At 44.6% G+C, this 25,833-nt stretch overlaps 4 annotated features.

Annotated features, from left to right (window-relative positions):
* Positions 3,221-4,070: an enhancer, noted in NCBI's record as "H3K27ac hESC enhancer chr14:96413280-96414129 (GRCh37/hg19 assembly coordinates)". NCBI's record gives its function as "activates a minimal SCP1, AML or CMV promoter by ChIP-STARR-seq in primed H9 embryonic stem cells {active_cell/tissue: H9 hESC(primed)}" and the evidence as "EXISTENCE:reporter gene assay evidence [ECO:0000049][PMID:30033119]".
* Positions 4,071-4,919: an enhancer, noted in NCBI's record as "OCT4-NANOG-H3K27ac hESC enhancer chr14:96414130-96414978 (GRCh37/hg19 assembly coordinates)". NCBI's record gives its function as "activates a minimal SCP1, AML or CMV promoter by ChIP-STARR-seq in naive and primed H9 embryonic stem cells {active_cell/tissue: H9 hESC(naive and primed)}" and the evidence as "EXISTENCE:reporter gene assay evidence [ECO:0000049][PMID:30033119]".
* Positions 4,920-5,769: an enhancer, noted in NCBI's record as "OCT4-NANOG-H3K27ac hESC enhancer chr14:96414979-96415828 (GRCh37/hg19 assembly coordinates)". NCBI's record gives its function as "activates a minimal SCP1, AML or CMV promoter by ChIP-STARR-seq in naive and primed H9 embryonic stem cells {active_cell/tissue: H9 hESC(naive and primed)}" and the evidence as "EXISTENCE:reporter gene assay evidence [ECO:0000049][PMID:30033119]".
* Positions 24,354-24,927: an enhancer, noted in NCBI's record as "OCT4-NANOG-H3K27ac hESC enhancer chr14:96434413-96434986 (GRCh37/hg19 assembly coordinates)". NCBI's record gives its function as "activates a minimal SCP1, AML or CMV promoter by ChIP-STARR-seq in naive H9 embryonic stem cells {active_cell/tissue: H9 hESC(naive)}" and the evidence as "EXISTENCE:reporter gene assay evidence [ECO:0000049][PMID:30033119]".

Raw genomic sequence — 25,833 nt, forward strand, 5'->3', positions numbered from 1 at the left:
GGTGAGTTTTGCTCTCCAAGACTCCCTTCTGTTGGGCCCTTCTTTCCCCTCTACCTCCTCCTCTCTTTCCCTTACAGAAAGAAAGCCAGTCATTTAAAAAAAAAAGGCAGGAGGAAAAATGCCACTCTTGGCATCCTCTGGATGCCTTTCCTATCCACTGCCGTTGTCATGGTAACCTAAAGCCATTTGCCTGCCTCTTTCGGCTGTGCCTTCTCCACTGAAAGCTGAGTGTGTGGCTGGCCTTTTCCCTGCCCCCTGAAAGCTACGTTTAGAGTTCCCCAATCTATTCTTAAATTTCTCCGCAGCTCCCCATCCTCCCTGCTTTCTCTGCCTCTTACACTTGAGAGTGAGAAAGGACCATATCAAGCAGGTGCCCCATGGCATTAACTCCACAGATGTTTAAGCAGACCTCCTGTGTGCAGGCACTGTGCCAGATAGAAATTTGTCAGTGCCAAAATGCATGAAGAGAACCAATCATTTTATCCTGGAGAAACTGAGGCCCAGAGATGGAAGGAGGAGAGCCTGTCTCAGAGCCCCATGTCCTCATGCCCAGGTGAGTGCTGAGCTTTTGTTTGTTGTCATTAGCCTTTGCCAATGACCAGCCTCATGTGGGCCCCAAGCTTTCCATCTGCAAGTGCCATGAAACTGTGGAGCCATGGGCAGAGCTGGCCAGTTTTCCCAAGATTCCTCTTTCCTCTGGTGCAGCTGGGGGGTTAGGGCCCAGACCTCTTTATGAATGTCCTTTTAGCACAGCTAAGGCAGATCTTCCCCGACCATGGCCCTATCCGCTGCAGCAGACTTCCAGGAGTGCATGGAAGCTCCTGCTTCTCCCACCCTGCCTTGCTCCTTACCATGGGCAGAGCTGGAGAGAGTGTGGCTACAGCTAGCTTTGCTCCACTTAACCTGCCAGCTCCATCTGCAAGCTGACGTCACCTGAGCCACCACTATTCCCCCCACCCCCACCCTGGCATTTTCTGCTTATTAAAACACACATGCCATCTCCGCTCCTGCACCATTAAAACATTTGCTCGGCAGCCCAGACTCGGAAAAGGGAGGGATGGAGGGAGGGAGTCCACACACTGTAGAAATAAATTAATGTGGAATAAAACAGCAGTCCTGGCTCCCATAAGGTGGCTGGTTTGAGAGGCAGATAGATGCTAAAAGGCTCTAGTTACTAAATAAGGAACACTTAAAATAAGCACCCATTGCTAATAGCTCACCCTTAAAAGAGAGAATATGACAAAGACTGCACGAAGACCAACTATGGGTCAGCACTCCATCGTCTTCATCATGACGACATGTACACAGTACTTACTATGTGTCAGGTGCTTGACCACACTCGCTAAATCTAGTTTTCATTTATACATCCATTATACTTTCTTCCATCTCCACCCTCTGCTCCCTTCTCTCACTTTCTGCTCCCCACAGGTAATCCTTTTTTATTCTTTTTGTTGGTCCGTTTCAGATTCACCATATCTATAGATAATCTATTTATTAGGGTGACTGACTTGGAGGCTTTCTCTATTGACTTCCTACTATGGAATTTAACCCTCTTTCCTTAGCTCCTATATCCACCACAGACACTTCCTGCCTTCATCCTTCCAACAGGGTCATGTGGTCATTTTATTTAGATCAGCAGCTTTGCATGATCATGACTATGTGAATATTCTACCTAGATAAGCCATGTAGTGTGGTGTGGTGGCCACAAAATGCACCCCTCCAGTGTCTTTCTGAAGGGAGTATAATAGACTAACAGCTCAGCTGCTGCCCCTCTGGGCCCATCATTACCTTCACAACAAGGCCACATCCCTGTGGCCCAGTGACTGAGCACAGGTCCATTCCTGCAAGACATGCAACTTCTCCAATTGGCCTCTTGGGTTGGAGACTCCCCTGTTGTCCTGGCTGCTCCTTTCTGGAAATTGCATTGCAGCCTGGGCTGTCCCCACCTCATCTTCCTCCCTTCCCTCCCTCCTGCACAGGGGCCAGCCCTGCACTGACTTCTACAAGTGCCGCTGCCTGTGTCTGGGCTTTCCCACTAGATCCTTCAAAGGTGTTTCCCCCAATCAATCTCTCCAACATCTAATCCCATCTTAGTGTCATTCTTATCAAACCTGTACTCATATATCTGGAGTCAATCATTGTCCCTCTCTCATACCCTGTTTATTTAGTTTTTTATTTGTCTGTTTGTTCATGGGCTTTATGTATGATAGCTAAAAGCTGAAAATAAACAAATGAATGGATAAATTAATAGTGGCATATTCAAACATCAGAAGAGTACTCAGAAAAAGAAAAGGCTGAACTACTCATACATTATTAATAAATCTCAAAGTAATTACACAAGACAAATAAAACCAGAAAATAAGAGGAGTAAACACTTTATGATCCAATCATATAAAATTCCAGAAAAGGTAAACATATATATTATAGGGCAAAATAAATAAATGGTTACCTGGACGCCTGGGAAGGATGAGGAGAGGGATTATAAAAGGACATGGTTTCACAGCTTCATCTGTATGTCAGAATTTGTCCAATTGTGTATGTCAAATATGTGCAGTTTATAACATGTAAATTATACCTTAATAAAGCTTTAAAAATTGGTTCAAGATAAAAATCTACATATCCCACTCTCAGGTTGTTTGTTTCGTTTTTTATGTGCTTATCACTATTCTATTCTGAACTCTCCTGGTATGTAAATCTTCTCCCAATGTGTGCAGACACACTAGGCAGTCTCACAATTGCACTGCATCTTACAGAAACTTCTCCTGGCTCCTTCTGACCTTTTCCAATCTGGGCTGGGCTCTCTCCACCTGCTGTGCAGCTGACCTCTTGGGATTTTCCTTACTATCATCTGGGGGTCTTCCTCTGTTGCACCCCCTCTTTCCTGTTTTTCATGCCTGGATCTCCTTTGACTCACCCTCATCTTGCTGTAGCACATCCTCCAGTAGTTTCCCACTGAAGGGTGGGATTACGCCTGTAATCCCAGCACTTTGAGAGGCTGAAGTGGGTAGATTGCTTGAACCCAGGAGTTCAAAACCAGCCTGGGAAACATAGCAAGACCTTGTCTCTACAAAAAAAAAAAAAAAAGAATAAATCTGAAAGTAAGATGGAAATTCTAAACCTGTCTTTCATCTATCCTCACACTTTAGCAAGAGTCTGGCTGGACACAAAATTCTAGATGGAATCATTTTCCTTCAGAGTCTGGAAGGCTCTGCTCCCCTGTCTTTTGTGTCATGCAGTGCTGGAGTTCACAAGCCTTTTCTCCCTTTGGAAAGAAAATGGAATTCCTCCTTCCCCCCCGCATCCTGAAAGCTCATGGCCATGTGCCTCCTGTGGGTGGGTCTGTTGTCCTCCCTTGCTCTGTGCTCAGTGAGTCTTTCCAGACCAGCAACTTGGCTCCTTCAGTTCCAGGAAAGCAACTTGAATTCTTTATGGGTGAATTCTTCCTTTCTCTTTCTTCTCTTCTCCTTCTTTGCAGCTGCTTTTACTTGGATATTGAATGTCCTAATCTGGTCCTCACATCTTCTCATCATTTAGCTCCCATTTTCTCATCTCTTTGTCTCTCACTGTACTTTCCATGAGATTTTTCAACTTTATCTGGCTACTTTTCTTTTTTTTTCTTTTTTTGAGACAGGGTCTCACTTTGCCACCTGGGCTAGAGTGTGGTGGCACAATCAATGCTCACTGCTCACTGCAGCCTCAATCTCCCAAGCTCAGGTGATTCTCCTACTTCAACCTCCCAAGTACCTGGGACTACAGGCATACACCACCACGCCTGGCTAATTTTTTTTTTTTTTTTTTTTTGCAGAGACAGGGTCTTGCTATGTTGCTCAGGCTGGTCTTAAACTTCTGGGCTCAAGTGATCTGCCCACCTTAACCTCTCATAGTGCTGGGATTACAGGCAAAAGCCACTGTTTCTGGTCTATCTTGCTACCTTTTAATTGATTTTTTAAATTTCTGCTATCTTTTTTTTAATTTTCAAGATTTTTTTTGGTCTTGGAATAGTCCTTTTTATAGCATATTCTTTTTTTTTGAAGCATTCTTCTCTATAAAAGAATATATTAATAATATTAATTGTTAAGAATAGTAAGAATAATGTACGTGAAGTTCAGTCTACCGGAATAGCTTCTGCTTCTTTCAAGTCGCTTTTTTTTTTTTTTTTTTTTTTTTGAGACAGAGTCTTGCTCTGTTGCCCAGGCTGGAGTGCAGTGGTGCAATCTACAGGCATGTGCCACCACGCTGGCTAATTTTTTTGTAGTTTTACTAGAGACGGGTTTCACCATGTTGGTCAGGCTGGTCTTGAACTCCTAACCTCAAATAATCTGCCCATCTCGGCCTCCCACAGTGCTGGGATTACAGTCAAGTAGCTTTTTGTTTGTTTTGATAGCTTTTGTGTTAAGTGCATTCCCAACATGTCTTAGCTGTTCAGTAGTATTTACAACTAGTTATTGAGAAGGTAACTAGCTATCTGGGCAAGGTGGCTGGGGGAGCTTGTTATCTGTAGTTATGTTGGGTGATCTGACTGACTATTTCCTTAGGCAATTCCAGATCTTGGTATCTTTGACACTTTTCTTTTTAGTTAGTGAAATTTCCTACAAAAGACTCCTAATCTCTTTCTGGATGTCAATAGACTGTGCAGAATTCATTGTCCATGATCAGCATTTTCAACTTTTAGCAGAGTCCAGCGCTCTTCCAGAGCAGACCCTATTTACAACCCCCTCCTCTATACGAAAAAATTATTCCCAGTAATAATCATGTAAGAATCAGCATTAATCACTTCTTTATTTCTTCTTTAGTTTTAAAACAAACTGTTAACATAACAGATGGATAAATTTTCATTTTAATTATATTATGCAGATTCAGTAAAGTATTTTATGTAAGAACTAAAATCTGCATTTGCCAAACCAAAGTACTGCACTCAGTTCACACTCTGATTTACTGATTTAAATTTTAAGCATTCATGAAATTCCAAGCAGTCACATGGAATGCCAAGCGTGAAATAATGCAAATTCTACTTCTTTGTCTTTGCATTCACAATCTCTCATTGTTGCAATCTTCTTTACAAATGCAGGAATTTGCCGCACCCCAGGGATTGGACCCAGGTCACAACCAAGGAAGCTGCACAAGATCTGAAGTGTTAGCCATCTCCTCTCAACCAAATGCATGTGCTGAGTCCTCATATGCTGGGGTTCTTGCAAATAACTTCCATGTAGAATAAAATGCTTATTAAAGGGTCAGTAATAAAATGTGCTGTTTTGAAGCGTACATCTATACATACTTTTTTATTTTTTGAAAAAGGGTTTTGCTGTGTCACTCAGGCTGGAGTGCAGTAGCCCAATCATGGCTCACTGCAGCCTCAAACTCCTGATTTCTAGTCATCCTCCCACCTCAGCCGCCTGAGCAGCTGGGACTACAGACATGTGCCACCAAGCCCAGCTATTTTATTTTATTTATTTATTTATTTTGTAAAGATAGGGGTCTCGCTATGTTGACCAAGCTAGTCTTGAACTCCTGGGCTCAAGCAATCCTCCCACCTTAGCCTCTCAAAGTGGTGGCATTACAGGTGTGAGTGTGCCCAGCTGACATCTGTATTATTGAAACTCAAGAGTAACCACACAGTTATTTAGAATATAGACCAACAAGATATTTTTCAGGGAGGAATACTTTATCACAATATTGTTCAGAATTACCAGCACATGGTGATAATAAAAAAACTTGGCTTTTTATTGTTGTAAAATGTACATAACATAAAATTTATCATTATAACCATTTCTGTTTCTGGAGATGAAGTTTTGTTCTGTTCTTCAGACTCGAGTTCAGTGGTGCAATCATAGCTCACTGCAACTCCAAATTCCTGGGCACAAGTGATCTTCCTGCCTCACCCCCCTGAGTAGCTGGGACTACAGGCATATGCCACCACTTTCAGCTAATTTATTTTTTGTTTTTTATTTTTATTTTTTTTGACAAAGTCTCACTCCATTGCCCAGGCTGGAGTGCAGTGGCACAATCTTGGCTCACTGCAACCTCTGCCTCCTGGGTTCAAGCAATTCTCCTGCCTCAGCCTTCTGTGTAGCTGGGATTACAGGCGCACGCCACCATGCCTGGCTAATTTTTTTTTTCTTTTTTTTTTTGTATTTTTAGTAGAGACAGGGTTTCACACCATGTTGGCCAGGCTGGTCTCGAACTCCTGACCTCATGGTCTGCCTGCCTGGGGCTCCCAAAATGCTGGGATTACAGACATGAGCCACCGCACCTGGCCAATATTTTTATTTTTTGTAGAGACAGGATCTTACTTTGTTGCTTTGGCTGGTCTCAAACCCCTGGCGCCTAGTTATCCTCCCATCTCTGCTTCCCAAAGTGCTGGGATTACGGGCATTTTCACCATTTTTAAGTGTACAGTTCAGTGGCTCTAAGTACATTCATACTGCGGTGAATCACCACCATCGATCTCCAGAACTTTTTCTTCATTGCAAACAAAACCCTGTACCCATTAATACACTAACTCCCCCTTTTCATCTCTCCCTAGTTCCTGATAACCTCCTCTCTACTTTCTGTCTCTACAATTTTGACTACTCTAGGTATCTCACATAAGTGGAATCCTACACTATCTGTCCTTTTGTGACTGGCTTGTTTCACTTAGCGTAATTCTTCAAGGTTCATCCATGTCGCAGCATGTGTCAGAATATCCTTCCTTTTTAAGGCTGAATAATAACCCGTTTTATGTGTACACCACTTGTATGTGTACACCACATTTTATTTATGGGCTCTTGGGTTGCTCCCATTCCTGGCTATTGTGAGTAACCACTACTATGCACATAGGTATACAAATATCTCTGTGAATCCCTGCTTCCACGTCTTTCGGGTATATACCCAAAAGTAGAATTTCTGTACTATATAGTAATCCTATGTTTAATTGTTTGAGGAGTCACCATGTTCTTTTCCACAGCAGTTGCAGCATTTTACATTCCCACCAGCAATGCACAAGGATTCTGATTTCTCCATGTCCTTGCTAACACTTGTTATTTTCTGTATTTTTTTTTTTTTTTTTTGAGACGGAGTCTCGCTCTGTCACCCAGGCTGGAGTGCAGTGGCAACAATCTCGGCACACTGCAAGCTCTGCCTTCCGGGTTCATGTCATTCTCCTGCCTCAGCCTCCCGAGTAGCTGGGACTATAGGCATCCGCCACCACGCCCGGCTAATTTTTTGTATTTTTATTAGAGATGGGGTTTCACCATGTTAGCCAGGATGGTCTCGATCTCCTGACCTCATGATCCGCCCGCCTCAGCCTCCCAAAGTGCTGGGATTACAGGCGTGAGCCACCGCGCCCAGCTTCTGTATTTTTTTTTTTTTTTTAAATAATAGCCAGCCTAGTGAGTGTGAAGCGACACACTGACTTTTCACCAGTTGTATAATTTTTGGGAAGTTCTCTACAGACAAAATGTGACTTTGCTACCTCCACCCAAGACAGACCCTTCCACTGACTGCCCTTGGTACTTCTCGGGCCTCCAGGATGTAGCGTTTTCCAGCATTGTGCCCTTGGTACCCCAAGCCCAGAGCCTCTCTCTTTATCTTCTCCCGGGAATAAGGTTCCCACCCCTCTGCTGGAGTGGGAAAGGGGCATGCCCAGTAGCATGAAGTGGCTGAGGAAGCTGGAAGTCTAACTGCTTTTTGAACTTTCAACCAATCCTTCTGTTTCTAGCCCCAAATCACTTCCACTTCCAAAACTACCGTGCCACCAGGTCCAGAGCCTGTAAGGCGTTCGGTGATGCTCATCCATTGCTTCTCATCCCCATTTTGACTTAGGATTTAATGCCTCCAATCTGCTCAGTCAGTTACCACGCATCCATCTGCTTTCCAGCCTGCAATTGCAGATTCCACATCTGCTGCTCCCTCCTCTCCTTCTCTCTTTGGCCTTAAGGGTCTAAGCCTTCTTAAAAATTCCTTTGTTGTCATTTGGATGGGGTTTCAGGAAGGAGTAAAGCTAAAAACATGTGTTCAATCTTTCATCTTCAAAAAGCCTCAACTAAAGTTTAATATGCATTACTTTACTTAAATTGTACTATTATAAATGAAATTAAACATGAGGATCTGAGCTGTGGTAGAGGTGGAGGGGCATGTGGAAGTTCAGGGAGGGCCCCCAGTGCAGCAAAGGGTATCTCCAAAAGCTCCTCAAGGAGGTAACATATGAGCACATGAACTGAGCTGTGAAGGCAGAGTAGGAGTTTGATTCATTTTACACCTGTTCTGTGCTGAGAACAGAAGCATAAAGTTTTAATAATTCATTGTCCATCTACCCAAACTAACACTTAGCTGCTCTCACCATGTGCCAGACCCCAGGAAAATGCTGGTGAGTCCTCAGCACATGCAACCAGCCCCGGGGTCTCCCCTGTATCCTTGGCTCTCCGAAACTGCCCCACCCAGAAGCCATCTGCTTTCTATGATCTGGCATCACCTCACCCTACTTCCAAATGCTGGTAAATCTCCCAGCCTCACCTAAACGTTCAAGCAGCCTATCTGTAACCCAATCTTTGTGAAATTGTTGGAAAGTCCCTCCCTCCTTCTCCAAGAATGGAAGGTTACATAAAGGTCGTGCAGAAGAACTTGGATGAAACAGAGAGATTGTGCAGAATTCATTGTTGATGGCAGCCAGGCTGGGGACAGATAATCCTAGGGAAAGCATCAGAACTGACTTGAATCTCTGCCCACAGAGAGGGGATCCAGAATTCAGAGTATGACCTTGAACAAAATTTCAGTCTGCTCCTGGACTGAAGACCAACAGCACATAATTAATTGGAAGTGAGGTCCTTATGAGTGACAGGTTGGCAGTGATTAATTATCTTAATATTTGCTCTGGGTTCTGAGGATGTGCAAAGTGATTAAAGAGGGGTTTTGGAAACAGTGACTTGTTTGTTCTCTGTCCCCTAATTGTTTGCTAAATGATTCACCATAATTACATGTAACGTCTCCCTGCTCCCCCAGGTAATACTTGCATAATATGGAAACAAAACTGAAATTTCTAAAGTACAAACACAGCAAGGTCTGGGGGGTGGGCTGAGAAGCTCCAGAAGGCATCATGTATGGGACCTGATAATCCAAGCCTCCGATCTTGTACATTGCTCCAATTTGTAGACACCTGAATTGTAGCTCACGCAGAGCTGTGGAGCAGTATTGTTTCACAGCAGGATATGGAGGGGGTGATTAAGAGGTGAGATTGGGGTTAGGCAAGGAGTTAACCTCAGTGCCATCAGGAGACTGAAGTTCTAAACCTACTGTTGCCACTTCGTGTGCAGGAAAATAATCTGAGGCACAGAGAATCAGATTGAGCCATCATGGGTCTTCCTAAGCTGAATGCTCTGATCCAACCCCAGCCTCCTCAGCCTCAGGCCCCCAGGCTTCTCTGCACAAACAGGAGAAACAAGTCCTGGACCTGCCGTCCTCTTCTGATGGGCAAGGGGAGAGCCACCACCTCTCACTCACCCTCCAGCGCCCACCTCTTGCCCATCCCAGCCATTAGGATGCTTGGCTAAGAAGAGATCAGCTGATTGGGGTGGGGAGTATCAGGGAGCATCGAGATAGATGTTGGGGCTTCCAAATTCCCAGAAACCCCCATCCTGATTTCAGCACTCCTTTACCAGTCAGTACCAAGGACAGCGACTATTGCTTCTGGTTCCAGAAAACACAATACAAAGATTCAAAGGTATGAGATCCAGGAGGGCCTGAGAGGTGGTGAAGTCTAGCCTGTCCCCTTACAGGTGAGGACACAGGCCCAGAGATCAGAGGGTATTTTCCAGCACCAAGCTAAGCCCAGGTACTCAGGCAGGCAGGATCTCATGATTCACACTGCGTGCTGCACCTGGGATGCTGCCACGCTGCCTGGACTCTGGGCTCCTTGGAGGAAGGGGCTGGACATAACTCATCTGTGTCCCCACAACCCAGTCCAGGGCCAAGCACAGAGGAGATGCTTAGCGTACACGGGTTTAACTTATCTGTAAATCCAAATCCTCCCAGGCACATCCCCATAGGCCCAGGCCAAGGAACACCTCCCCTGGGAAGACCACCTTGTCAATGGTGGAGAAAGTGCCTGCAGCTTAGAGCTGGTATCACCATTTCACATGAGCAAACCTTCTGTGTGTTATTGCTGCTTTCTTCCCAACTATAATAAATTGTCTCCTCAATAAACCTGAGAATTACTAATTCATATTCTCTGAATCTTTAATAATGCCTGGCATAGATATTTGTAGGATACCTGCATGAAATACTGTCCCAATAGAGAGAGAGAGAGAGAGAGAGAAGAGGAGGAGATAGTTAGAGGGACAGAGACTTAGAGAGGCAGAGACATTTTTAAAGAAACAAGAAGAACACTATGCATCACTGTGTCACAACTATTGTTCAGTGGCCCCCAAAGCCCAAGAGGACCCATTTAAGCAAGTAGGGATCACCAGTGAGATTTCAGACTTGCTTCCTTTAGTTCGATCCAGAAGAGAAAATAAATATTATGACTCATTGTTGGTTTAAAATGAGCTTTCCTACCCTCAAACACAAAACAAACGTGGATTCTATTCATCTTCCCTCCAGCCTACACTCTGGGCAACACCTTTGCATGCACACATCAGCCACTGTCTGTCACTTCCCCATGGCGGGGGAGCATGCTGCTCAGTAAGGCTTCACAGCAGAAAGCTTATATCAGATTTGCAGAATCAGGTGAGTGAATCACAGACAAGGCCCCTGGGCCTTCCGCACAAACCAGCTACTTGGTGGAAACGGGCAAGGGTTGACAAACTGAAGGATGATAGAGTCAGAAGAGAGGATCCTTCAGCTATGTTGAAGAGACTCCTTCCTAGATGGTCAAATAAGGATCTTCAGACTCCAGATAGGAAGTGTGGTTTTGTAACACGCTAATCTGACTGTATTTGGTTACTATTGAAGACCACCATGGCTCTACTTTGCTCACAAAAGCTGCTTAACCTGAATAGCAGGGCACCAAGGTTGGGGTCATTCCATGAATGTGGTCTTTGCTTCTACCCCGCCCTTTGCTCTAGCACCACCCACTGCTCAGCTAGTCACACACAAGGTGGCCCTCTAGGGGGACTCGTCCCTCCTAGGAATGCCTTTCTACCCTCCCCTCCCTAGTTCTGCAATTAGCTGGGGACTCCCAGGCATTTTTAGGACCCCAGGCTGAGCAAGCTGTCATTCCTCTGTGCCCCAGAGGCAGGCCCTCTGTGGCTCTCCATCAGCTCCTGTATTACAGTGACTTTTTTACTCCCACCACCACACTGTGTACCTTTGAGGACAGAGTCTGTGTGGTGGACACTGGCTGACTGCCAAATACCCACTGCGATTCCCCATGCCTCCCGCTATACAGCAGAATGAGACCTGAGAAACAGACTCCAGTCTGGGGATTGGGACGTGTTAGTCCAAGCTATTGTGGCAACCTCATCCCCTTGGGCAGTGACTGGTCTTGAGCCCAGGGCTAAGCCAGTCAGTGTGTGGTGGTGCCCTGGAGATGCTGTTGGTCAGGGGCAATACAGGCACAAGAGCTGCTCCAGTCAGAAGGAAGATTGGGCTTTTTCTGTAGAGTTAGTGAGGAAGAACTCTTTTTTCTCAACTGGCCACGAATGAGGAACTCTCTTCTCTCCACATTGGCCCAATGGCTCCTTGACCATGAGGGAATCCAGCCCCAGTGTGTGTCCAGCATTGTGGATGCCAGAGGACAGGATGGGAGAACCTGCATCCTTGTTGGCACCATAGAGCCTCTGGGTCCTTCATTTGCCCTCTGAGTTTCTGACACTGCTAAGAAGTGCATTTCCAGCGTCAGCCAGTCAGGACTGAGTTACCTGTCACTCATAGTTGAAACTCCAGAACTGATATAGTTGGTCTCAGTCACCTTTGTGTGTCAGTGCTCAGAAGCATGTGAGAAAGAGTAGATGCTCAAATACGAGAGTGTCAGCATTGGGTGCTCAATTCCTGTTGCTGGTTAGGAAAAGAATCAATGAGGAGGAGGAAAGAAGCTTGCTGAGGGCAGTGAGACCATCAACCACCAGATTGGGATGCATCAAGGGCAGGTAATGACAACCACCTATGCAGATTCCACAGTGGAGCCAGCACCCACCCTAGGTCTCTGTGGCTCCAGTGCCTGGCTTATCTCTACCATCTGTCCTGCCTGGTGACCTCAGACCCAAAGAAGGCATTACTGGATGTATTGTGTATTCCATATTCAAGATATTTTATCAGAAAATGCTTTAAAGGTGCATTTAAATACTGGTCAAACAATATTATTTTATATTCTTTCTTTTTACATCAGCATCACATAAAAATATAAATTCTTTTATCTTAACCCAGCAACCAGTCATATCTCTCCAGGGCCTCTGCTGATCATTATCAATGTGTCAACATTGTTTTGCTGTCTTTGTAATCCATATATATTCCTGCTTCCTACGTTTTTTTAGTTAACTCTTTCATTGACAGGTAGCAAAGTAGCAAAGGACCTTGTCTGCGTAATCATCATATTTATCATTTTAAACATCTGTACCCCATTCCATCATACTAATAGCTTGATTTTGCAGTCTCCAGTGGTTGGGCCTGAGGACTGTATCTGCTTTCGCTGGAATAGTCATTGGAGTAATACAGCATACTGGTAAACAGTGACTGCCCTTCAGATGTTAACAGCCAGTGGGTAGAATGCAAAGTAGGGATCCCGGGTCACCACCACTCATCAGTTTCAATCAGGGTGCATTAGTTTGCAAGGGACTGAAACTCACTCAAGCTGCCATGAGCCAGGAGTTCAGTAGGGACAGAGCAAAATATCTGGGAACCACAAAACAGCCAGGCCTCAGGGAACTGCTAAGAACCATCTCTACAGTTTTTCTGTGTCACCCTGTCTCTGTCTCTGTGTCTCTGTCTCTTTGTGTCTCTCTGTCTCCAGATGAATCTCCACAACCACCAGACCTCAAATCCCCACTGACCTGCTGGTCCAGGGCCCATCACCAACCAACCCAGGGCTGAAATTCTCAGAGGACTGTGCATGTCTGTGGCCAGTGGGGGCTGGGGGAAGGGTGTCATGTGCCATAACCTACACACTGACTTCTGTCTCTTTGGCCAGGACTAAAGGTGAGCAGCTTTCAGACAAAGGGGTTCTGGGGGAGGGAAGCCACATGCACCTCCTCCACTCTGGCACTTCTATTATTAATACATCACAGAAAAACACTTTATAAATTTTAAAATTCCCTTCAGTGCAAATTTCCCTTTAAAGGCAGGCCTCCTGTATTTGAATCTGAGTCCACCACCCACCACTCTCTGATTTTGGGCAAGTCATGCCCCACACCTTTTGTGCTCCCTGTTCCTAGGTGTACTCAAGTCAACAAATGAGGGAAGAGAGAGACCCTTTCATATTGTTTTATACTCAGTACCTGTTTAAAGAAAAAAAACAAGGAAGTGAAATCAAAAACAGGCAGCCTGGTGCCAGGCCCAAAACTGGACCTGGGCCTGCCTGGCCTAAACCTAGTAGTTAAAAATCAACTGATGACTTAGAAACCGATGTTATTCATAGATTCCAGACATTGTATAGAAGAACACTGTGAAACTCCCTGCCCTGTTCTGTTTCTCTCTGACCACCAGTGCGTGCAGCCCCTGTCATGTACCGCCTGCTTGCTCAAATCAGTCACGACCCTTTCATGTGAAATCGTTAGTGTTGTGAGCCCTTAAAAGGGACAGAAATTGTGCACTTGGGAAGCTTGGATTTTAAGGCAGTAGCTTGCCGATGCTCACAGCTGAATAAAGCCCTTCCTTCTATAGGTCGGTGTCTGAGAGGTTTTATCTGTGGCTCGTCCTGCTACACAAACACTGACTGCCTGTTGTTAGCTGACATTAATTGAGCATTTACTCTATGCCAAGCGTGGTTGTAAGCACTTTCCATGAGTTAACTCAGGGAATCTTCACAGCCTCCTAAGATGAGAAATCTGAGGCACAAAAAGGATAAGTAAGTACTTGTGGATTGGACAGCTAGTGTTTAGTATGCAAAGAAATGCAAATCAAATTAAGATACCACTTTGCATTCACCAGATTGGCAAAATGAGAAAGTTGAGTGACACTAAGTGTGGGCTTGGATATGAGCAAAGCGGAGCTCTCCTGCAATGCTGATGCGTGTGAACTTGGAACCGCCTTTCTGAAGGGCATCCAGGTTGTGTTTATACTGGAAGTATTCGTGTTCAACGACCCAGCACTATCACCTTCACGTTCCAATTCCAGAGAAACTCTCCAGGGCTACCCAAGGAGGCATATTCAAAGATGTTCATCACTCTGTTGTTTACAGTAGCAGAGGACTGAAAGTGACATAATCTAGGCTTCCCCGACTAGGGGAATGGAAAAGAAAAGGTACAATACACATCTACATAGCTGTCAGCTTGATTTCAAAACCAGAATGAGGAGTGAAAACTGTGAAGAAAATAGAATTATTATTGTGAAAGGAAAATATCTTGGGCTCCTTCAAGCTGGGAACTGCTCAGGGCAAATGTGCCTCCCATTCTTTTCAAAATCACCCCCTGCTCACTGAGATAGATGCATATCTGATGGCCTCCTTTGGAAAGGCTAATGAGAAACTCAGAAGTATTCAACCTTTTGTCCCTCACCTACCTGTGACCTGGAAGCCCCCTCCCTTCTTCTAGTCTTCCTGCCTTCAAGTTGTCCTGCATTTCCAGACTAAGCCAATGTACTTCTTACATATATTGATTGATGTCTCATGTCACCCTAAAACGTATAAAACTAAGCTGTGCCCCGACCATCTTGGACGCAGCTTAGGCCTGAGGCCATGTCATGGGCACTCATCCGCGACCTTGGCAAAATAAACTTTCTAAATTAACTGAGACTGTCTCAAATTTTGGGGGTTTACATTATCCATATTGTAAACTGTTAGGGAAAAACCCACCCAAAAAAGCTTCTTGGCACTGCCAACACCCCTCCCCTTCCCCCAAGCCTTTTTACATTTCTAAGCCCTTATCTAGGCGCCATGGTGAAGCCTGCAGACTTTACCTATCAGGCCTTACTGCGATAAAGCAAACCCCAATTACAAACCATCTGGACCAAACGGAGAGGGGGAGGTCGTAGGAAGCATAAACAAACTTTACCCTCCTGTAAGTTCCTGCTATCATAAACATCACCAGGTGATATGTGGCAGAGTTAACAAACAAACGACCCCAGGGTCTCTCTCCCCCATATAAAACTCCTCATTTTGTAAGCTCAAGGCTGCCTCCTCTGTAATGGAGCAGCTGGCAGGTTCAATAAACTTAGTTGCCTGAACTTGGGTCTCTCTCTCTCTCTCTTCCTTTCTCTTGGCTGACCTTACATAAACAATATGCGTATATATCCAAAATAATTACATATATATTAAATATATATGTGTGTATATATGTTCCTCAAATTGTGTAATTTTCTTGAGACATGTGAGTAAATCAATGTTTGGCAGGACACACAGTACGTGAGAATGGAGGTGAATGGAAGGAGAGGACAATTGATTGGGAATAAGGATAGAGAGAATGAAATTGAAATAAAATGAAATAAAACCCTAAGAACTCAGCTTCTCAGGTAATTTAGTTTGGATGTCTGTCCCCTCCAAATCTCATGTTGAAATGTGATCCCCAGTGTTGGAAGTGGGGCCTGGTGGCAGGTGTTTGGGTCATGGGGCAGGATCCCTTCTGAATGGCTTGGTGCTGACCTTGCCATTGTGAGTGAGTTCTTGTGAGAGATCAGGGTGTTTAAAAGCATATGGCACCTCCCCCATCTCTCTCTTGCTCTTGCTCTGGCCACGTGACATACTGGCTTCACTTCAACTTCCACCATGATTGTGAGCTTCCTGAGGCCTCCCCATGCCAGCACCATTCTTCCCATACAGCCTGAAGAACCATCAGCCAATTAAACCTCTTTTCTTTATAAATTACCCAGCCTCAGGTATTTCTTTACAGCAATGTAAAAATGGCCTAATACACCAGGGCTTCTGAGAATTAACCTGTCAGGTGCAGAGAACTACTGCAGACACCAGATCGGTCTTTCTGAACTGCGAGATAAGGACTAGATACAACATCAGTATCTCCAGGCCCCTGCCTTCCACATCCCATGGTGAGTGCCCTCTGCAAGAGGCATCTCTAAATCTGCCTCCTGTGCTTGGGTGTTGCATCAGGTATTCTTGGTACTTTTATCTACGTTTGGTAATTGGACAATTCAACAAACACTTAAAATTCTATGCAACTATTGCGACTCTTGTTCAATAACCAAACATGGGTAAAAGTACCGAGAATACCTCTACTATAAAGACACATGCACACGTATGTTTATTGCAGCACTGTTCACAATAGCAAAGACTTGGAACCAACCTAAATGTCCGTCAATGATAGACTGGATAAAGAAAATGTGGCACATATACACCATGGAATACTATGCAGCCATAAAAAAGGATGAATTCATGTCCTTTGCAGGGACATGGATGAAGCTGGAAACCATCATTCTCAGCAAACTAACACAGGAACAGAAAACCAAACACCAAATGTTCTCACTCATAAGTAGGAGTTGAACAATGAGAACACATGGACACAGGGAGGGGAACATCACACACTGGGGCCTGTTGGGGCATGGGGGGCTAGGGGAGGTATAACATTAGGAGAAATACCTAATGTAGATGATGGGTTGATGGGTGCAGCAAACCACCATAGCACGTGTATACCTATGTAACAAACCTGTATCCCAGAACTTAAAGTATAATAATAATAATAATAATAATAATAATAACTGAAATAAATAAATAACACTCTGCTTGCTACTTTACAAAAAGATGAAAACTCATTTTTTCATATTTTATGTCTCCCCCAGCAGGTCTGGTGGAGAATGGAGAGCTCAGGGGAAAATGGGACTGATTGAAAGAGACTCTCTGGAGGGTTTTGTGCTGCACGTACCCAGGGGGCCCGACCACCATGAGAAACACTCTGTTCATAATGCAGCCTGTTCCCTCCCCTTCAAGGCAAAGCACAGCCCTGGCCCTGGCTCCACAGTGTCCTGACAGCACAGACAGCACCTGGTCCATCCCCCACAGCACAGCTGATGGAAGCTGAGGCCTGGAGAGGAAATGTGGGTTGTTGGGTTGAGTGGTGCCCTCCCCAAAAAATGGTATGTCCACTTGCAACATGTGAATGTGACTTTATCGGAAAAAGATCTTTGAAGATGTAATTAAGGATCTTGAGATGTGATCATCCAGGATTAGGTTGGTACCTAAATCCAATGATAAGTGTCCCTAGAAGAGAAGGCGCAGAGGAGAGGAGTGGCACTGAGGGGAAAGCCATGTAAAGAAAGAGATGGAGGCTGGGTGCGGTGGCTCACACCTGTAATCCCAGCCCTTTGGGAGGCCCGGGTGGGTGGATCACGAGGTCAGGAATTTGAGACCAGCCTGGACAACATAGTGAAACCCCGTCTCTACTAAAAATATAAAAATTAGCTGCGCGTGGTGGCAGGTGCCTGTAATCCTGACTACTCGAGAGGCTGAGGCAGGAGAATTGCTTGAACCCGGGAAGAGGAGGTTGCAGTGAGCAGAGATAGCACCATGGCACTCCAGCCTGGGTGACGAGTGACAGTCTGTCTCAAAAAAGAAAAGAAAAGAAAGAGATGGAAATTGGATCCTGCAAGCCACGGAAGGCCAGGGACTGCCCATGGCCACCAGAAGCTGGAAGAGGAATGGGGGTCCACTCCCTCCAGGCTGCCAGGAGGAACCAGCCCTGCTGACTCCTTGATTTTGAGTTTCCACCCTCCTGACTGTAAAGAATATGTTTCTGTTGTTTGAGGCCATTCAGTTTGTGAATTAGGAGACCAATACAAGTTTCTACTCAGCAAACAGTTGTGACCACCTCCTGTCCTTTGTGCCAGAAGCTGGTAATTCCAGCTAACCAAAGCAAGGGCCTGACCACAAAGAGTGCTCAAATTAGGAGTGTGAGTCAGATGCAAGAGTGGCAGACAGAGCAAGAGCCCTGGGGCTTGGCCCAACCCAGAGAGCCCAAGATGGCTTCTAAGAGGAGGTGATGCCTGGGCAGGAAGAGAATTCCAGGCAGAGATAATAAGAGCCAAAATAAGGTATCTGAGGGAGCTGCAGGCTGCTTGGTGTTGCTAAAAATTAAAGTCCATTGCATCAGGAATCAAGGGGAGAAGTGATGGGAGATGGGGCATAGCCAAGTCCCTTCCTCAGCACAGCTCACTATGACTGAGGACTGGACATGGGTGGCCCTCATGGGCAGATCCATCCAGAGCGCTACAGGGAAGAGATCCTTGCTCCTGGCTTCCTTTCTGTGATGCAGACATTAGAGGGGGGTGGCTGTCATGTCACCAGACCAGCATCCAGCCCACAGGCTGTCTGCCCCATGCCCATGTCCCCCCTGCTGTCTAAGCTTTGTGAGGCTAGCAAACCCAGGGTCTCATTGTTCACTCCTTACTTAATGTAGCTTCTCATCCAGGGTTTGTGGAATGGATGAACACTTTCTGAGGATTAAATAGTATGCTGCGTTAAACACTTCTGAATGCCAGTGTGTTAGCTGTGAATTGCTTGTTCATTATTACAAGCTCCTCATGGGAACTTTGAAACTAGCCCGACATGACAAAGCCATCCGGAACAAGCAGCCTTTAGCATGGGCTCCTACACTTTGGGACAGTGTTTCCCAAAACCTGGTCTGTAGACCCTCTGCATCAGAACCTCCTGACACCGGCCAGGAGGCACAAATTCAAGCACTGGCCCTGGCCTTCTGACTCAGACTCTCTGTGGGTGGGACCTGGGTGCTGGCATATCGAACAGCCCCCAGGATACCCTGTGCGTGCTGAAGTTTCAGGACCTGGCAGGAGAATCCTCAGAAAAAGGGAAGACAGCTTCTGGCTACTGCTTCTATTCGGCACTGCTGCCTTGACAGGGCAGGCAAGCCACACACCAGGAAATGGGCTATTTGACCCCACGGTTGGCCTCCACCAGGGTGACAGCTATTGAAGAAAAGTTGAGTGGAGGACTAGCAGAGAGGGTGACTGTCCATCCTGGTCTGCTCGAGACTGAGGGGGTTCCTGGGATGCAGGAGTTTCAGTGCCAAAGCCAGGAAGGTCCTGGGTAAGCCTAGGGGGGCTCTTCACCTGCCTTCCTGCAGCCCAGCCTCAAGGAGCATCTCTGGGGCTCACTGTTACTCACCTGCAGACAGGAAAGAGATCCTGGAGCCCTCCCATTTCCACTAGATCCTTGGTATCCCCTGCGCCTCTGGGAGCTGATGAGTTTGATATGGCAGCTCTACAGTGAGAGGACGAAGCTTAAGAAGCAACTTTCACAGAGAAGTAAAAGGAACTGTGATAATTTTGACCCTGTAAACTTGTGAAGGGACAGTCTGAAGTGTTTCCCTTACAAACACTTTTCTCTTTCAAGATGTGGCCCCCAGAACTTAAAGAGGCTTTATGCTAGGAGAGAAAGCTTTCAAGCACAAGCTCTTATCACAAAGCATTTGCCTTCCCCTCAGGGCAAAGGGCATGTGAGCATGCACACACACATACAGACACCCACACACAGGCACATACACACAGCCATTAGAGTTGATTCATCAACGTCCACACTAAAGCTGCCCATTCTAGCTGCTTCTATTGTAACGGTTTCTTCAAACAATAGCTTTCCACTCCTAATACTAATAATTACAGCTGTTATTTATGGAGTACTCATTGTGCTGGGCACTGACGCGTTTCCCATGCACTATGGCATTGCCTGGCATTTCATTCTGGAGCCATCCCCATTTTGCGGATGAGTACCCCAAGGTACAGAAAGGCTAAATAACTCTCTCCAGTTTATACAGAGGGCAGATGGTGAAGCCCGAATTCAAAGCCTGTGTTCTTAATGACCACACCAGTGGTTCTCTTGAGGGGGTCTCAGAATTGCCTGGGGGTCTTGTGGAAACATGGATTGCTGGCCCCACCCCCCTAGAGCTCCTGACTCAGTAGTCTGGGTAGGGTCAGGGAATTTGCATTTCTAACAAGTTCCCAGATGATGCTGATGCTGCCGGTCCTGGGACCACACTTTGAGAACCAGTGCACGATACCATATTGCCTTCATTAAGCCAGAAGGGCTGCTATGTAAGAGCAACAACAATAATCATAATTAAAAATGAATGTTCTGCAGTGCTTATTAGGTTCCAGCCAGTATTAGAAGTGCTTTAAATACATTAGCTCGTTTCATCCTCACACCCACACTCCATGATGGAGAGATGGTTATTACCGTCATTTCACATGTGAAGACATTGACAGCGGAGAAGCTGAGTAACTTGCCAAAGGCCACACAGCCAATAAGTAGCGAAGATGAAATGCCATCTACCTGGTTCCATATTAAATTGATCAATAATTACCTGTGGTGGATTCAGACCTCATCCTGACTTGACTTGACCTGCCCCACCCTTTTCCAACCAGTTCCCTTATAGTGTCTTCTATTCATGTGATTTTATGTACTCAACATAAAGCAGCCATGTTTTTTTTCCCTGGGCGAGCCCAGCCTCTGAAAACTGGAGTGTGCATGGCGTGGACCCATGGGTTCCCTGTTTAAACAGACAGATCCCTAGAACAATGCAGGATAGGGCATGAACTCATGACTATGGAATAATTTATCAGAAAAAAATCTCCCTAGAATAGTGATTCTTAACCTTTCGTGGGGTACAGTCTCTTCTGAGACCCTGACGAAAATAGTAACCCTCTTCCCAGGAAGACACACATGTCCATATACACCCGAGATGTTGCATCCAATGCTAAGGCAGTTATGAATCTTCTAAAACCATTCACAGTCTGTATGCCCCCAGGTAGGGCTCTGCCTCAGAAAGCAAAGAACAAAAAGCCAGGGCAAGTGGTTTCCCCAAGTTCAGCCCCTCCTTCCATGAATGCAGCTTTCATCACGTGGATCGTATGGTCTTAAAGTACCCCTCTGCCTGCAAAGCAGTGTCTGACCCTTAGCCTGCCAAGCAAGGTGCTCCTACCTGGGAAACAGTACCCCACTCCTGCAGCTTCACCTCAGGAGGCTCTCAGGCTACCCTCAGGCCCCAAAGACAGTTGAATTTCCACTGGTCTTTGAAGTGTTCTGTTAAAAATGCAAATACTATAGGAAGGGATCACTGACCACAGCTGGCCCTAATACAAATGCAAAGTGTTATGAAATGTTATGAGCTTTAAGATCTTGAAGCTGATTATAAGGAGAAAACAGGCACCTGCTTAATTGTAGTTGTCTTGGGCCTCTGTGAATGATGCTGCAACAGACATCTTTGTCCATACGGAAACTGCCTTAGCAAAGATTATGACAGCAAGGGAGTCTAGCACAGCTGACTCTATCTTGCTTCTAGCCTCACAGGCTGGCTGTCCTCGCTCATTCCTGGGCATAAGCCAAGCTAACTGTAGGAGGAATTTAGTTTATGGTTTAGCTTTGAAACAAGCATGATCATAGTCCCTCTCTAAAACTGATCCCCTGCTTGTTTGGGGCCTGAAACTGCTTTTGTAAGACTAAAGAAAGGCCACAAGATTATGATTATGGGAGGGGCCTGAATTCTGCTAAAATGTAGGCATACTTTCTGTAATCCCTTACTGCTCTGGAGTCATGTAGCCAGAGGTCACAAGATTTGTGGCTGCCCCAATTGCTCCTATAAATAACATCACTATTGTAGAATCTAAGATTGGCCTTTGGAGATGTTTTTCAGACTTCTGAATTCTGGCATCCGACTGACCCCACCTGGACTCGTGACTCATGACTCAGTTGGTCCTGTGGCTCCACCAATAGGCAGGCTCAGCACATGAGGACCGTCTTCCACACCCCTATGATTGTGTCCCCAACCAATCAGTAGCACCCATTCCCTAGTCCCTTGCCCACCAAACTGTCCTGGAAAAACCCTAACCTCCAAACCTAGGGGGAGAATGATTTGAGTAATAACTCCATCTTCTGCATGGCTGGTGTAGCATCAGTTAAACTCTTTCTTTACTGCGATACCATGATCCAAGTGAACTGTTTTTGTCTGTGCAGCAGGCAGGAAGAACATGTTGGACAATTACAATATGAGAGTACATGCCAGCAGTTTCATTTCTATGGAATATATCCCAGGAATGGGATTGCTAGGTCAAGGTTGATTTGAATTTTTAATGTTAACAGTTGTTAGCAGATTACTTTCCTGAAAGATTCTAACCATTCACACTTCCATTCACAGTGCAGGAGAGAGCTTTTTGGCCTACATGGCCTCTGGCAATATTTATCACTCTCTTAGATTTTTGTCAGGCTCTAGGGTAGAAAGTGATACACCATTGCGACTATAATGCTTATGTAGTATTTAAGCTCTTTTCTTAACTGCTAGAGAATTTTAATATAATTCTTGGCCATTTGAATTTGCTGTTGTATACATTGCTTCTTCATAATAGCCTGCCCTTTTTTTCTCTTGTGTTGCTTGTTTTCATCAAATTTTAAAGCACTGAATACATCATACACATATATGTACACATATACATATACATATTTTAAAGCACTGAATACATCATACATATATGTACACATATACAATACATGTATATACATATACATGTATATGTACATATATATGTACATATATATACACACACACATACATAGAGTCATCTGTGCTGCCAGCATTCTTTCCAAACTCACCATTTGTCTTTTTTTTTTTTTTTTTGAGACAGATTCTCACTCTGTTGCCCAGACTGGAGTGCAGTGGCACAATCTCAGCTAACTGCAACCTCCTCCTCCCGGGTTCAAGCGATTCTTCTGCCTCAGCCTCGCAAGTAGCTGGGACTGCAGGCATGCACCACCACGGCTGGCTAATTTTTGTATTTTTAGTAGGGACAGGGTTTCACAATATTGGCCAGGCTGGTCTGGAACTCCTGACTTCAGGTGATCCACCCACCTTGGCCTCCCAAAGTGCTGGGATTACAGGCATGAGCCACCACACCCAGTCTACCATTTGTCTTCTTATTTCATTCATGAGTGTTTTTTCCATGTATATTTTAAAATTTTATGGACCCAAATATGCCTACCTTTTCTTTGTTAACATCTGGGTTTCTTGTCTTGGTTCAGAAGGTTTTTTCCACCCTTTGGTTATACATATTGTTTATCTTGCAAATTTTTAATCCTTTTAACACAAGTCTGTAATCCACCTAAATTTTTTTGGATGATATAAAATAGTGATTCAATTTTATTTCCTTCCAAAAGGAGAACCAGTTGTTCCAGCACCATGTGTTCAAGTATCCATTTTCCCAACCAAATTTAGCCACCATTTTTATTACATGAAAATCCTTGTTAAGCAGGACCAATTTCTGCACGCTCTATTCTATTCCACTGATCTGTTTAGTCCGATACCAGTGCCAGATTGGTTGGGTTACTCTGACTTTTTCCAAAATTCCAGTGTCAAGTAAGATGAGTCATTCATTCTTCATTTATACCTTTGATACATCAAGGACATGGCCTACTTTCAGGCCCACACATGTTTGATGTGTGTGGGGACAATTATGAGGCATTTATTTTTCCATATAGATTTATATATTAATTTATTCAATAACTCACTTCAGAAAAATATTGCATTTGAAATTCCAATCAAAATTTTATTTCATTTACATATTTATTTTGAGGTGAACTGACATTTTTATAAGACATATTATTTTACAACTCACTATGTCCTTTCCTTTGATCAGCTCTATATTAGTTCTATATCCTTCCTTGAGATCTTCTAATATTCTCCATATAGGTCCTGTCTTTTAAAATTATATTCATTTATAAATACTTTAGAGTGTTTATCACTACTGCAAATAAAATATTTCTCCTCCTTTTCATTTCTAGATGCTTATTTACTGGAAGAGAGAAAGGCTATTGATTTTTGTGTTTTATCTTATAACCATTCCACCTTACTAAATTCTTTTTGCCATTCCCTTTATTTTAAGCACTTATTACTGTCTTAAGCATAGTTTTTTCAAACACAGCATATGGTTACATTTCATCTTTTAACCCAATATGAAAGTCCCTGTCTTTAGGTGGGAAAAATCCAGCCATTCAACATACAGAGTAACTGCTGGTAGACCTTGTTCTATTTTTTACAATTTGTTTTATGTTTAGTATTTGGTTCTCCTTTTTTGACTTTTATTGTCTTAGTTTAGGTCAAATGACCAAGATGTTCGTATTCATTTTATTTCTTCCCATTGTGAATTTGGAGCTCTTCTGTCCACTCCCATTCCATTAGCATTGACTTTTCCTTTGCTGGCTCTCTTCTTTGACTCTACATTTTGCTACAAATATCTGGAAGTAAGATGTTAACTATTCTCTCTCTCTCTAAAGATATATATTTACTATATCTATAGATAGATAGATAGATAGATAGATAGATAGATAGATAGATAGATACCTTCTTTTAAATTTTTTTTTAAGAGATCAGGTCTTACTCTGTCACCCAGGCTAGAATGCAGTTGCACAATCATAGCTCACTGCAGCTTTGAATTCCTGGGCTCTGTCAGGCCTCTGAGCCCAAGCCTGCACGTATACATCCAGATGGCCTGAAGCAAGTGAAGAATCACAAAAGAAGTGAAAATGGCCGGTTCCTGCCTTAACTGATGACTTTCCACCATTGTGATTTATTCCTGCCCCACCTTAACTGAGCGATTAACCTTGTGAAATTCCTTCTCCTGGCTCAGAAGCTCCCCGACTGAGCACCTTGTGACCCCTGCCCCTGCCCGTAAGAGAAAAACCCCCTTTGACTGTAAATTTTCCACTACCTACCCAAATCCTATAAAACGGCCCCACCCCTATCTCCCTTGGCTGACTCTCTTTCTGGACTCAGCCCGCCTGCACCCAGGTGAAATAAACAGACTTGTTGCTCACACAAAGCATGTTTGGTGGTCTCTTCACATGTACGCGTGTGATAGGCTCAAGTAATCCTCCGTCCTCAACCACCATGCCCAGCTATTTTCTCTCTTCATCTCTCTGTCTCTGTCTGTCTGTCTGTCTGTCTGTCTGTCTGTCTGTCTGTCTCTCTCTCTCTCTCTCTCGTAAAGACAAGGTCTCACGATGTTGCCCAAGCTGGTCTTAAACTCCCAGCCTCAAGCAATCCTCCTGCCTCAGCCTCCAGAATAGCTGGGATTATAGGGGTAAGCCACCAAGCCCTGCAGATGTGAACTATTCTCTTTCCCACCAAAGATGCCTTTGCTCCCACCAAGATTCTCAGCATTGCTTTTACTCTCTCTTGGCCCAGAGAGATGGGTCCTGGAGATATTTTCACTTTCCTCCTTCAGCTTGGTCCTCCTTTTCGCCCACCACCCCCTCCCTCTGGCCCCTGCAATGAGACTTTGAAGTTGATGTCAATTTGCCCCCTTACCGCACCACTCCGAACTCCTAGGTTTTGCTGTGATGGTTTCATAGTTTTGAACTCTGTGTGATAGTCTCTTCCTTCTGTTTGAGGAGAATTTAACAAGCATATTATGCTACTCCCAGACAGCTTCATCATGTTCATCTGCGTCTAATTATGCACACACATATATACAATATTATGTTTAACTACATATCGCTGAATGCCATGTACCCTGCCCTTCATCTCCCCATCTTTAGTCTATCTTTGGGTTCATTTATCATTTAATGAACATTATTATCAAGTCCCTTTTCAGATGGATCATGTGAGTGTATTCTTCTAGTGAAGGATGGCCTTGACTGAGTATGGATTTGGTTTCTCCATCCTTTTCACTCAGCTGTCTGTAGATGCAATTCCACCATCTTCAATCTTCTAGTTAATGCAGAGAAGTCTGATGTGAGTCTAATTATTTATCCTTTTAGGTAATTTA

This window comes from Homo sapiens, chromosome 14 (genome assembly GCF_000001405.40).
Source record: "Homo sapiens chromosome 14, GRCh38.p14 Primary Assembly".
Classification (NCBI taxonomy): domain Eukaryota; kingdom Metazoa; phylum Chordata; class Mammalia; order Primates; family Hominidae; genus Homo; species Homo sapiens.